The sequence below is a fragment of the Homo sapiens genome, chromosome 13 (genome assembly GCF_000001405.40).
Source record: "Homo sapiens chromosome 13, GRCh38.p14 Primary Assembly".
Taxonomy (NCBI): domain Eukaryota; kingdom Metazoa; phylum Chordata; class Mammalia; order Primates; family Hominidae; genus Homo; species Homo sapiens.
The window spans coordinates 19552569-19565031 of record NC_000013.11 but is presented as its reverse complement, the minus strand read 5'-3'; the positions used below and the strand labels follow the sequence as shown (position 1 = coordinate 19565031).

The 12463-nt window shown below is 44.6% G+C and overlaps 1 protein-coding gene, 1 long non-coding RNA gene and 3 pseudogenes across 3 annotated transcripts in view; 4 read left to right on the top strand and 1 right to left on the bottom strand.

Moving 5' to 3' along the window:
- The window catches only part of TPTE2-AS1 (TPTE2 antisense RNA 1), a 27157-nt gene extending 23464 nt beyond the window's left edge, over positions 1-3693 (bottom strand). Inside the window, exons 1-3 of the long non-coding RNA NR_172899.1 lie at positions 3519-3693; positions 2558-2708; positions 218-430 (exon numbers count right to left, since the gene is read on the bottom strand). This is a non-coding gene — a long non-coding RNA (TPTE2 antisense RNA 1). The remainder of the gene's footprint in view (positions 1-217; positions 431-2557; positions 2709-3518) is intronic.
- GOLM2P1 (GOLM2 pseudogene 1) overlaps positions 1-7200 on the top strand; it is a 7365-nt pseudogene extending 165 nt beyond the window's left edge.
- The window catches only part of MRPS31P2 (mitochondrial ribosomal protein S31 pseudogene 2), a 16253-nt pseudogene extending 3790 nt beyond the window's left edge, over positions 1-12463 (top strand).
- The window catches only part of TPTE2 (transmembrane phosphoinositide 3-phosphatase and tensin homolog 2), a 138698-nt gene continuing 129692 nt past the window's right edge, over positions 3458-12463 (top strand). The window contains exons 1-3 of one of the 2 annotated variants that reach the window (NR_073485.2): positions 3458-3532; positions 5903-6004; positions 12359-12461. The gene's annotated coding sequence lies outside the window, so the exon portion shown is untranslated. Of the gene's footprint in view, positions 3599-5902; positions 6005-12358; positions 12462-12463 lie in introns of both variants that reach the window. The other variant, NM_001395978.1, reaches the window with a different exon arrangement.
- Positions 3534-5615, top strand: ESRRAP1 (estrogen-related receptor alpha pseudogene 1; annotated as a pseudogene).

The following is a 12463-nucleotide window of genomic DNA, read 5'->3' as shown; positions in this document are numbered from 1 at the left end:
AGACCGATAAGCCCGCCTGCTCCCTCTGCCGGCCCTGGGGCCGTGTCCCCCGGGGAACTCCAGCCGAGGCCTGGGCTTCTGCCTGCAGGTGTCTGCGGCGAGGCCTCTAGGGTACAGCCCGATTTGGCCTCATGGTGGGTTTCGGGGCCAACCGGCCGGCTCGCCGCCTGCCTTCTCTTGTGCTGGTGGTGCTGCTGGTAGTGACCGTCGTCCTCACCTTCAACTGCTGGAGCATCTCTTCTTGCCACGTCCTGCTTCAGGAGGAGGTGGCCGAGCTGCAGGGCCAGGTCCGGCGCACCGAAGTGGCCCGCGAGCGGCTGGAAAAGGGCAATTCGGACCTCTTGCTGTTGGTGGACACGCACAAGAAACAGATCACCAGAAGGAGGCCGACTAGGGCCGCCTCAACAGCCGGCTGCAGGTCAGACAGGGCCTGGGGAAGAGATGCGAGGATGACAAAGTTAAACTACAGAACGACATATCATATCAGATGGCAGACATACATCATTTAAAGGAGCACCTTGCCGAGGGCTTCGTCAGGAGTTTCTTCGACAAGAAGACCAGCTTCAGGACTATAGGAAGAACAATACTTACCTTGTGAAGAGGTTAGAATATCAAAGTTTTCAGTGTGGACAGCAGATCAAGGAATTGAGAGCACAGCATGAAGAAAACATTAAAAAGTTAGTAGACCAGTTTTTACAGGAACAAAAGGAAGAGGCCCTCAAGATTCAATCAAATGACGGAAAAGAACTGGGTATAAACGATCAAGTAGTACCTAAAAATATTCCAAAAGTAGCTGAGAATGTTGCAGATAAGAATGAAGAACCCTCAAGCAATCATATTCTACATGGGAAAGAACAAATCAAAAGAGGTGGTGATGCAGGGATGCCTGGAATAAAAAAGAATGACCTAGCAAAAGTCGATGATCTTCCCCCTGCTTTAAAGAAGCCTCCTATTTCAGTTTTTCAACATGAAAGTCATCAGGCAATCTCCCATCTTCCAACTGGACAACCTCTCTCCCCAAATATGCCTCCAGATTCACAGGTAAACCACAATGGAAACCCTGGTACTTCAAAACAGAAGCCTTCCAGTCCTCTTCAGTGTTTAATTCCAAGCTCAAACTTGGACAGTGAACCTAGAATTCAAACAGATATACTAAAGCAGGCTACCAAGGATAGAATCAGTGAGTTCCATAAATTGAAGTAAGGCCACTTCTTTGATGAGAATGAATCTCCTCTTGATCTGCAGCATGGCTCTAAACTGGCGGATTATAATGGGGATGATGGTAACGTAGGTGAGTATGAGGCAGACAAGCAGGCTGAGCTAGCTTGCAATTGGGAAGAAGATGGTGATGGTGGAGCGGAAGACGTCCAAGATGATGAAGTACGAGAGCTTCAAATGGATCCTGCAGACTATGGAAAGCAACATTTCAATGATGTCCTTTAAGTCCTAAAGGAACACTTCAGAAAACCTAAAGTGCTGTAAAATGAAATCATTTTCTATTTTGTCCTTTCTGACTTTTGTTGTAAAGATGAGTTGTATCAGTTGTAAAAATACATTGAGATAGAATTAAGGAAAAACTTTAATGAAGGAATGTACCCATGTACATATGTGAACTTTTTCATATTGTATTATCAAGGCATAGACTTTTTTGGTTATGATACAGTTAAGCCAAAAACAGGTAATCTTTGCATGTAAAGCAAACTAATGTGTATTTCACATTTTATTGAACTGACTTATTTCCACAAATAGATAAACAAGAAAAAATGGTTGTACAGGTTATATGTTGCACAGCATAACCATAGTAAGAACAGAACAGATATTCAGCAGAAAACTTTTTATACACTGATTCTTTTTTTTTTTTTGAGACAGAGTTTTAGTCTTGTTGCCCAGGCTGGAGTGCAATGGCACAATCTTGGCTCACTGTAACCTCTGCCTCCTGGGTTCAGGTGATTCTCCTGCCTCAGCCTCCCAAGTAGCTGGGATTACAGGTACCCGCCACCACGCCCAGCTAATTTTTGTATTTTTATTTTTGTATTTTTTTTAGACGAGTCTCGCTCTGTCCCCCAGGCTGGAGTGCAGTGGCGCCATCTCGGCCCACTGCAAGCTCCGCCTCCTGGGTTCAAGCAGTTCTCTGCCTCAGCCTTCCGAGTGGCTGGGATTACAGGCGCCTGCCACCACGCCCGGCTAGTTTTTTTGTATTTTTAGTAGAGACAGGGTTTCAGCATCTTGGCCAGGCTGGCCTTGAACTCCTGACCTCGTGATCCACCTGCCTCGGCCTCCCAAAGTGCTGGGATTACAGGCGTGAGCCACCACACCCAGCCTAATTTTTGTATTTTTAATAGAGAGCTAATAATTGTATATTTAATAGAGACAGGGTTTCACCATGTTGGCCAGGCTGGTCTTGAACTCCTGACCTCAGGTGATCCTCCTGCCCTGGCCTCCCAAAGTGCTGGGACTACACTGGTGAGCCACTGTGCCCAGTCTACACACCAATTCTTGTTAGCCCAACAGCTGTGCTGTTCTATCTACCCCTCATTTCATGCTCAAGGAGTCATACCTAGAATAGTTACACACAAGAGGGAAACTGGCAGCCAAACACTGGACAGTATGTGTACAAAGTCACCTCCCTACTCCTTTTATTTTACATGAGTGCTGATGCGTTTTGGCAGATGAGCTTTCAGCTGAGGCCTGATGGAAGTTGAGATAACCTGCAAAGACATAACAATATTTATAGTTACATATCTTAGTTTTTTGTTTTGTTTTGTTTTCTTTTTTCTTTTCTTTTCTTTTTTTTTTTTTTTTTGAGACGGAGTCTTGCTCTGTTGCCCAGGCTGGAGTGCAGTGGCGGGATCTTGGCTCACTGCAAGCTCTGCCTTCCGGGTTCATGCCATTCTCCTGCCTCAGCATCCGAGTAGCTGGGACTACAGGCGCCCGCCACCACGCCCAGCTAATTTTTGTTTTTTTGTATTTTTAGTAGAGACGGGGTTTCACCGTGTTAGCCAGGATGGTCTCGATCTCATGACCTCGTGATCCGCCCACCTTGGCCTGCTGGGATTACCGGCGTGAGCCACCGCTTCCGGCCACTTAGTTCTTGAAATTGTGTGATGAGGCAGCAGGGAGGAGGGCAGGGCGGGCTCCAGGCGGGGGCCGGCTCTGGGGCCAGTCTGGGCCACGGTCGGGGCCCAGTCGAGGTCCGGACTGGTCAGGGTTCAGGCGGGATCTGGCGTCCGAGTTCTGGTGGGCCGGCCTGGGGCAAGATCTGGCTCTGGCTGCGGGTCCTGGCCCGGGTCAGGGTTGGGCCTCCGATCCAGCCCGCCCCGGGGCAGGGTTCAATCCCTCGCTTGCCGAAGTCCCTGGGGCTGGCCGGGGTGGAAGACGGGGAAGTCTCTATGTCGGGAAAGGGGCTCTGAAGACCACGTGGGGGCGCTCGAAGGGGCCTGGGGCCACCCTCCTCTCTGGGTCAAAGGTCATCGCAACGGCCGGGAAGAACTTCCTCTTCCTTGGCTCTCCCCACTTACTTCCTGATAACCTGGTAGCGGTCTCCCGCGGGCGTCGGGGCTTGCGGGGAGGCGTAGCAACTTTAGGCAACTTCCCAAAGGTGTGCTTAGGTTGGGGGGCGGGGCGCGGCGCCCCGGGAGGTGGCGGCGTCTGCGACAGCGGGAATATTAGAGTGGACCTGCAGGCCGGTCGCGAGGAGGTGGAGCGGCCCCCGCCGTGTGCCTGGGATCGGCATGCTGGGGCAGGAGGGCAGCCGCGTGTCAGGTGACCAGCGCCATGTCCAGCCAGGTGGTGGGCAGTGAGCCACTACATCATGGCAGAGCCGGCCAGGCCTGACAGTCCAAAGGGCTCCTCGGAGACAGAGACCCGAGCCTCCTGTGGCCCTGGCCCCTGGTCCAGCTCCCACCCACTGCCTCCCAGGCCACAAGGAAGAGGAGGATGGGGAGGGGGCTGGGCCTGGCGAGCAGGGCGGTGGGAAGCTGGTGCTCAGCTCCCTGTCCAAGCGCCTCTGCCTGGTCTGTGGGGACGTGGCCTCCGGCTACCACTGCGGTGTGTCATCCTGTGAGGACTGCAAAGCCTTCTTCAAGAGGACCATCCAGGGGAGTATGGAGTACAGCTGTCTGGCCTCCAACGAGTGTGAGATCACCAAGCGGAGACGCAAGGCCTGTCAGGCCTGCCGCTTCACCAAGAGCCTGCGGGAGCGCGCCTGGACCGCGTCCGGGGTGGGCGGGAGTACAAGCGGTGCCAGAGGTGGACCCGCTGCCCTTCCCGGGCGCCTTCCCTGCTGGGCCCCTGGCAGTCGCTGGAGGCCCCCAGACGACAGGCCCAGTGAATGCACTGGTGTCTCATCTAATGGTGGTTGAGCCTGAGAAGCTCTATGCCTTGCCCGACCCTGCTGGCCCTGATGGGCACCTTCCAGCCGTGGCTACCCTCTGTGACCTCTTTGACCGAGAGATCGTGGTCACCATCAGCTGGGCCAAGAGCATCCCAGGCTTCTCATCGCTGTCGCTGTCTGACCAGATGTCAGTACTGCAGAGAGTATGAATGGAGGTGCTGGTGCCGGGTGTGGCCCAGCGCTCACTGCCACTGCAGGATGAGTTGGCCTTCGCTGAGGACTTAGTCCTGGATGAAGAGGGGGCACGGGCAGCTGGCCTGGGGGAACTGGGGGCTGCCCTGCTGCAACTGGTGCGGCGGCTGCAGTCCCTGCGGCTGGAGCGAGGGGAGTACGTTCTACTGAAGGCCCTGGCCCTTGCCAATTCAGACTCTGTGCCCATCGAAGATGCCGAGGCTGTGGAGCAGCTGCCAGAAGCTCCGCACGAGGCCCTGCTGGAGTATGAAGCCGGCCGAGCTGGCACCGGAGGGGGTGCTGAGCGGCGGCGGCCAGGCAGGCTGCTGTTCACGCTACCGCTCCTCCACCAGACAGCGGGCAAAGTGCTGGCCCATTTCTATGGGGTGAAGCTGGAGGGCAAGGTGCCCATGCACAAGCTGTTCTTGGAGATGCTCGAGGCCATGATGGACTGAGGCGAGGGGTGGGACTGGTGGGGGTTCTGGCAGGACCTGCCTAGCATGGGGTCAGCCCCAAGGGCTGGGGCGGAGCTGGGGTCTGGGCAGTGCCACAGCCTGCTGGCAGGGCCAGGGCAATGCCATCAGCCCCTGGGAGCAGGCCCCACTCCCTCCCCTCCCCCCTCCTAGGGGATGTCAGAAGCTGGAAACGTGTGTCCGGGCTCTGGGCACAGTGCTGCCCCTTGCAAGCCATAGCGTGCCCCAAGAGTGTAGGGGGCCTTGCCGAAGCCACAGGGGGCTGCAGGGGATGTGTGGGAGGCAGAAGCCTATCTCAGGGAGGGAAGGGGGTGCAGGCCACAGTCTCCCAGTGGGTGATGCTTTTGCTGCTGCTTAATCCTACCCCCTCTTCAGAGCAGAGTGGGACTTGGAGAGCAAAGGCCCATGCTCCCTTTGCTCCTCCTCTCATCATTTGCATTGGGCATTAGTGCCCGGCCTTGAAGCAATAACTCCAAGCAGGCTCCAGCCCCTGGACCCCTGGGGTGGCCAGGGCTTCCCCATCAGCTCCCACCCAGCCTCCTCGGGGGTAGGAGAGCACTGCCTCTATGCCCTGCAGAACAATAACACTATATTTATTTTTGGGTTTGGCCAGGGAGGCGCAGAGACATGGGGCAAGCCAGGGCCCAGAGCCCTTGGCTGTACAGAGACTCTATTTTAATGTATATTTGCTGCAAAGAGAAACCACTTTTGGTTTTGAATCTTTAATGAGAAAAAATATATATACTATCGAGCTCAAAAAGAAAATTGTGGAATGCATGATTGACAATGTATTTTTTATTTCTATTTTTTCAAGTAATGCCAGTACTGTTACAGCCAGCACTGACTAAAATTTTTATATTTTCAGAGTTGACGCTGGTGAAGACATTCATGATTTAAACACCAGATCCTGAAATGTGTTAAATCTACTTTGAAATGAATCTGCAATCAGTATTTCAAAGCTTTTCTGGTAATTTTAGTGATCTTATTTGACTAGACTTTTTCAGAAGTACTAAATAAGGAATTTTAACAGGTTTTTATTAATGCACAGATAAATAGAAGTACAGTGAGGTCTATAGCCATTTTATTAAAATAGTTTAAAAGTTTGTAAAAAAATGAATCTTTGTAATTACTTAATATGTTAGTTAACCCATCAAGCTTATATTTGCTGGACTTACAACTTATTTTAAATACGTTTATCTTTTTTGACACTATTCAGTGGAATGTGTAAGCTAGCTAATTCTTGTTTTCTGATTTAAAGCACTTTTAAATCTTATCCTGCTCCCTAAAAACAAAAGGTTTTGATCACAAGGGGAAATGTAAGATTGTTAACCCTGTTTTTCAGAAGGGCTACTGTTAATTGCACCTAAACATGAAATGTGTTTTCCCACTGTCTCACAGAATGCAACATTCCACAGGAGAAACCTGACCAAAACTAGCAATATCGACAACTCTAACAGATTCTAGTCAAAATTCAAACTTAATAGTGGTAAAGAAACAGGTTGTTCACTTGTCGAGGTGCAACAATTCTTAAGACTTCTGTTTGAAATTGCTCAATGACTAGGAAAAGATGTAGTAGTTTACCAAAATTATGTTTCCACCATATCAAAGTAAACAATTCATGCCTTTATAGGGTCAGGCCTACAATGAATAGGTATGGTGGTTCACAGAATTTTAAAAACAGAGTTAAAGGGAAGTGATGTACATTCTGGGGGCATTAGGGTAGGGAGATGAATCAAAAAATACCCCTAGTAATACTTTTTATTTAATACTACAAAAGCTTTGCAAATGGAAACCATGCAATTACTTGCCTTAGTTCTTTTGTCATAAAAACAATCACTTGGTTGGTTATATTGTAGCTATTACTTATATAGCAACACTTCTTCAATTAGCAGTCTAGACATTTTATAAACAGAAATCTTGGACCAATTGATAATATTTCTGACTGTATCAATATTTTAGTGCTATAAAATACTATGTGAATCTCTTAAAAATCTGACATTTTACAGTCTGTATTAGACATACTGTTTTTATAATGTTTTACTTCTGCCTTAAGATTTAGGTTTTTTAAGTGTATTTTTGCCCTGAATTAAGTATTAATTTGATGGAAACTCTGCTTTTAAAATCATTATTTGCTGGGTTCTAATAAATTAAAAATTAAACTTGAAAAAAAAGAGAATAACTATTTCTCAGGTAGAGAAACATTCCATCTTTCCAAGATGTCCTTCCTTAGTGTTCTGATGGTATAATAGTTGAATATTTTAATATTCCATCCTGTCATTGGCCTGGATCCTGCTTAGGAATGTGGTAGTCATTATAAGGAAAACTTGGGACTGTAACATCCCCCCAAACTGGGAAGGCGTCGAGAGACTAAAGAATAATTTGGGCAAGTCCAGCTTGATGAATAGATGAGTTTACTAGGACTTACATACTGGACATTCCTAAGCAGCTCTAGAGTCACCCTGCCTCCCGTCTCTAAGCTGCCTTTCAGCTAATGTTCTGACTGTTTGCCTACTCTGTGTGCACGATGACAGTGTTTTCTTTGACATGTTCTCAGGTATGCCCTGGGATGTTTGGGTTCTCAGGGATCCCTGCTCCTCAGCTGGGCACCAGGGCCTTGACTCCCTGCCCAGCATTCAGGATCCAAGCAACACACATACACTCTTAAGTAACCTGGTAGGGGACACATCACACTACAGTTGTCAATATTGCTAGTTTTGGTCAGGTTTCCCCCATGAAATGTTGCATTCTGTGAGACAGTGGGAGGTAAGTACTACCAATTACCGAATCCAGAGGTTCAGATTAGCTACTAATTTGGGTTAGAACATTAATAACTACCATTTACAGTGTACCTCTATGCTATTACATAAAGATATACTGGTTCCTGCCCTTAGGCAGCTTACTGTCTAGAAGAGGAGATAGCATTTATAAAAAAACTTACTGAAGTGACTTAGTGATTGTTCAGGAGATGGGAAGAATATTCAAGGAATATATTTAACGGACTTGTAGTGTTTTCTCTGGGTAAGAAATTTGCCATTTTAAGTCTAAAACAGAAATAAGAGTGTCCTCTTGCTTGACATTAAATTTGGTTTACTAGTAAAATCAATGAAGAAACTCAATACAAATGGTCTCCAGCGTATAAGTGATGAGCATTTCTAAAGAATAGAAGTTAGTTTTTTGGATCTTGTAGAAATAATGTTGTATATGGACTTGGGAGGCTGAGACAACAGGATGGCTTGTGACTAGGAGTTCAAGACCAGCCTGGGCAACATAGTGAGCCCCTTTCTCTAAAAAATAGAAAAAAATTATCCAGGCATGGTGGTATATGCCTGTAATCCTAGCAACTTGGGAGGTTGAGGTGGCAGGATCACTGGAGCCCAGAATTTGAGGCTGCAGTGAGCCACGATTATGCCATAACACTCCATCCTAAGCAACAGAGTGAGATTCCAACTCAAAGGTGGGGGGGAGAATGTTGTACATAATAGATAAGTTCCTAGGCTGGCCTCCAAGGGCTCATTTAATCTTTCTACCAGTTACTTATACAAACTTTTGATTTTCCCCCTATTTAATATACCATTAGGGGCTATATCTCATTCATGTAGCACCTACTCATGTGGCTTACAGATCATAGCAACTAGTTATCTTAAATCTTAAATTCTTTTTTTGAACAAATTGTACTATAAAATATACACCTATAGAGGAAAGAAGTTAATTCAGTGTTTGTTCATTTGAACTGAAGGTGAAGCTGAAAGAACAACCCCCTTCTTGTATTGCAAAAACTGCATTTTCTTGTGTATGATAAAAAGGAAGTGCAAAATGCATAGGGACAATGAATCGCCTCTCCCCAGCTCAAATGGTTAAGCGTGCATCGGAAAGGAATTTGTTGGCCGGGCGCAGTGGCTCATGCCTATAATCTCAGCACTTTGGGAGGCTGAGGTGGGTGGATCATCTGAGATCAGGAGTTCAAGACCAGCCTGGCCAACATGGTGAAACCCTGTCTCTACTAAAAATACAAAAATTGGCTGCGCATGGTGGTGGGCGCCTGTAATCCCAGCTACTCGGGAGGCTGAGGCAGGAGAATCACTTGAACCCAGGAGGCGGAGGTTGCAGTGAGCCAAAATTGCGCCATTACACTCCAGCATGGCAACGAGCAAAACTCCATCTCAAAAAAAAAAAAAAAAAAAAAAAAAAAAAGAAATTTGTTGTTGTCAGGGCAGCTGCTGTTGTCCAGCCAAAAGAGATGCTTGAAGATTCTTGAGATTCTTGAAGGAGGCAGCTTACTTTTTAAAATAAAAAAATCTTATTTCTAAAACTGAAGTTAGTTGGCAAGGAAGCATTGAAGTTTTATGTATTCTATCAAACAGTATCAAATGATTATACTCTAGTATTTCCTCTAGTGAGGAAAATAGCACACAAGTTTATGTAATAATTTACTCTAATGAAGGTACTGTTTGAATATGCTACACTTGCATGAGTCTAAAGAATGGTTTTTGCTCCCAATTAAGTACAAGAATAGCAAAATGTGGAAAAGTAAATTTAGCAATTGTTCACTGTTGTTTTCCCACCACATCAAATAATGCTGGAAATGTAGTTGGCATTCAGTAATTTTTTTTAATTGACCGATTGAATGAGTTATTCTGTTCCATGATTCCCACGTCTTGTTCCATACTAAGTTCTTACCACTGCTACAGAGGATACAGTCATAGGCCCTACTGGTTATCCTAGAGTCGACAGGTAATATAGCTTAACAGAAAGAGTGTTGGTGTTGTGTAGAACTGGATTCAAATTCAGATTCTGCCACACTAACCTTTCCCCACCTATAAAATGAGGGCTAGTACATACATGTCAAGGATTAAATGTGGTAATCTGAGAGAGCGTCAGGCATAGTGCTTGGAACATAGTATATATTTAATAAATGCTTGAGGTGCCTGGAACATAGTACATATTTAATAAATGCTTGCAACTATTAGCAAGTGTAAAAATATAGTGATGATCCTAATGATGGTGGAAAAGGCATAGGTCAGTCAGTGACCACCAAGTAAAAGATAACTGAGACAAGTTATTTTAGTGGTGTGATTGCTCTGTAAATGTGGCTAGTTAAGGCTAACAACTGATTGTTTCCCAGTATCAGATGATCTAGGCCAAAATACTTAAAATCTAGCAGTCAGTGTGTGGTTAGACACATTTCTGCACATAAAGGCTCAGGAACAGATTCAGAAAAGCAAAATAGATAAAATAAGGCTTACACAGTTAGAAGAGTAAATGAGCTATTTGTTGATATGCTTTAGTGGGCTTGGCAAGAGTGAGTAAAGAGGTAAGCTGAAGGATAGATCATATGCAATCTATGCCTCTAACCCAGAAATTGTGTTCTTAGGAATTTGTTCTAAGGAAATATTACAGATATGTACAAAAGTGTAACTACAAGCTTATTTGTCATGATAGTATTTAAAAGAGAAAATATAAATGATCAAAATATTCAACAGTAGGGGATTGTGATACATATATATATATAAAATGGGATACTGATGCAAGCATTCAGTGAAAAAAGTATATTACCAAACTATACAATCCTCATTTATTTTATTTTATTTTTTATATTTATTTATTTATTTATTTATTTTTTGAGACAGAATCTTGCTCTGTCGCCTAGGTTGGAGTGCAGTGGCACGATCTTGGCTCACTGCAAGCTCCGCCTCCTGGGTTCATGCCATTCTCCTGCCTCAGCCTCCAGAGTAGCTGGGACTACAGGCGCCTGCCACCATGCCCGGCTAATTTTTTGTATTTTTAGTAGAGACAGGTTTTCACCGTGTTAGCCAGGATGGTCTCGATCTCCTCACCTTGTGATCCCCCCGCCTCAGCCTCCCAAAGTCCTGGGATTACAGGCGTGAGCCACCATGCCCGGCCCATCCTCATTTATTTTAAAAAGTGAGATCACACAGAAAAAATAAGAAAGATCAAAAATGTTGGTAAAAATAACTAAAGAATAAAAATATAGGGAAAAAGGTAGCCAAGGGATAGATATTGTTATTCATTTTCTTTTTACAACTTTATTAAGGTATAATTTGTGTGCAACAAACTGCACATATTTAAAGTATATAACTTGACTAGTTTTGACAAATATATACATCCATGAAACTGCCAGTTATAATTTTGAACATTTTTCATGACCCTCCAAAGTTTCCTTGTGTCCTTGCAATACATACACACATACACACACAGTACGCAGGCAACCATTGATCTACAATAGATTAGCTTGCATCTTTTAGAATTGTACGTAACTGAAATCACACAGTATGTACTCCTTTGCATCTGGCTTCTTTCACTCAGCATAATGATTTGAGATTCATCCATGCTATTACATGTACTAGTAACACATTTTATTACTGAGTAGTATACCATTGTATGAATGTATCACATTTTTGTACTTATTCACCTGTTAGTGGACATTTGGGTTGTTTCCCAGATTACAACCCACATTTGGCTATTACAAAGAAAGCTGCCATTAACTTTTGTGTACAAATCTTTGTGTGGACATGTATTATCTCTTGGGTGAATATCCAGGAATCAAATGGCTATGTTGAATAATAGATATATTTTTAACTTTTTAAGAAGCCATCAAACTGTTTTCCAAGGTGATTGTACCATTTTACTTTCCCAGCAGCAGTAACTGGTGGGAATATGGCTCATTCTCAAAAGATGATCTGAAGTTTCAAAAGTAAATAAGTTATTGAAACATGTAATATGATGGTGGTAATTAGCCAACATGATAATATGTTACTCATAGGGTTGGTTGTGAGGATGACATGCACTAATGCATAAAAAGCATTTAAGCACAGAGGAAGTACTCAGTATTCATTGGCAGTTTTATCATCATTCTGTTAATTTAACTTCTTTGGTTGTTAACAGTAGTACATTAGTGACTAATTTTGATAGACTAAAAATAAAGATAAACAGCCTAGACTTTAAAAACCAGAGTCACATATTGTACAAAAAACATTCACATTCATAAAAATACCCTTAAACAAAATTTATTTTTTTCTTTCCAGTAGAGGGGGCAGTGATTACCTGGCATTGTTGTAAAACAAAAGTTAAGCTTGCCATTATTGTAGTTATAATTTTTAATATAATTTTTGCAGTTATCTCTCAGTAACTTTTCATTATATACTATTTAATTATGAGTGTCAAGGTCTGAAAAATACATGATCAATTCAGGATTGGTTATAACTTTTTAAAGAAAGATATTTACATTGACTTGTTCTTACTTAAAATGTTTTTATTATACGACACATCACCTTCACTTTGGGATGTGGAATTTGCTAAGCAGTTAGCCACAGTCAATGAACAACCCCTTCAGAATGGCTTTGAAGAGCTGATCCTGTGGACAAAAGAGGGGAAACTGTGGGAGTTCCCAGTTAACAATGAAGCAGGT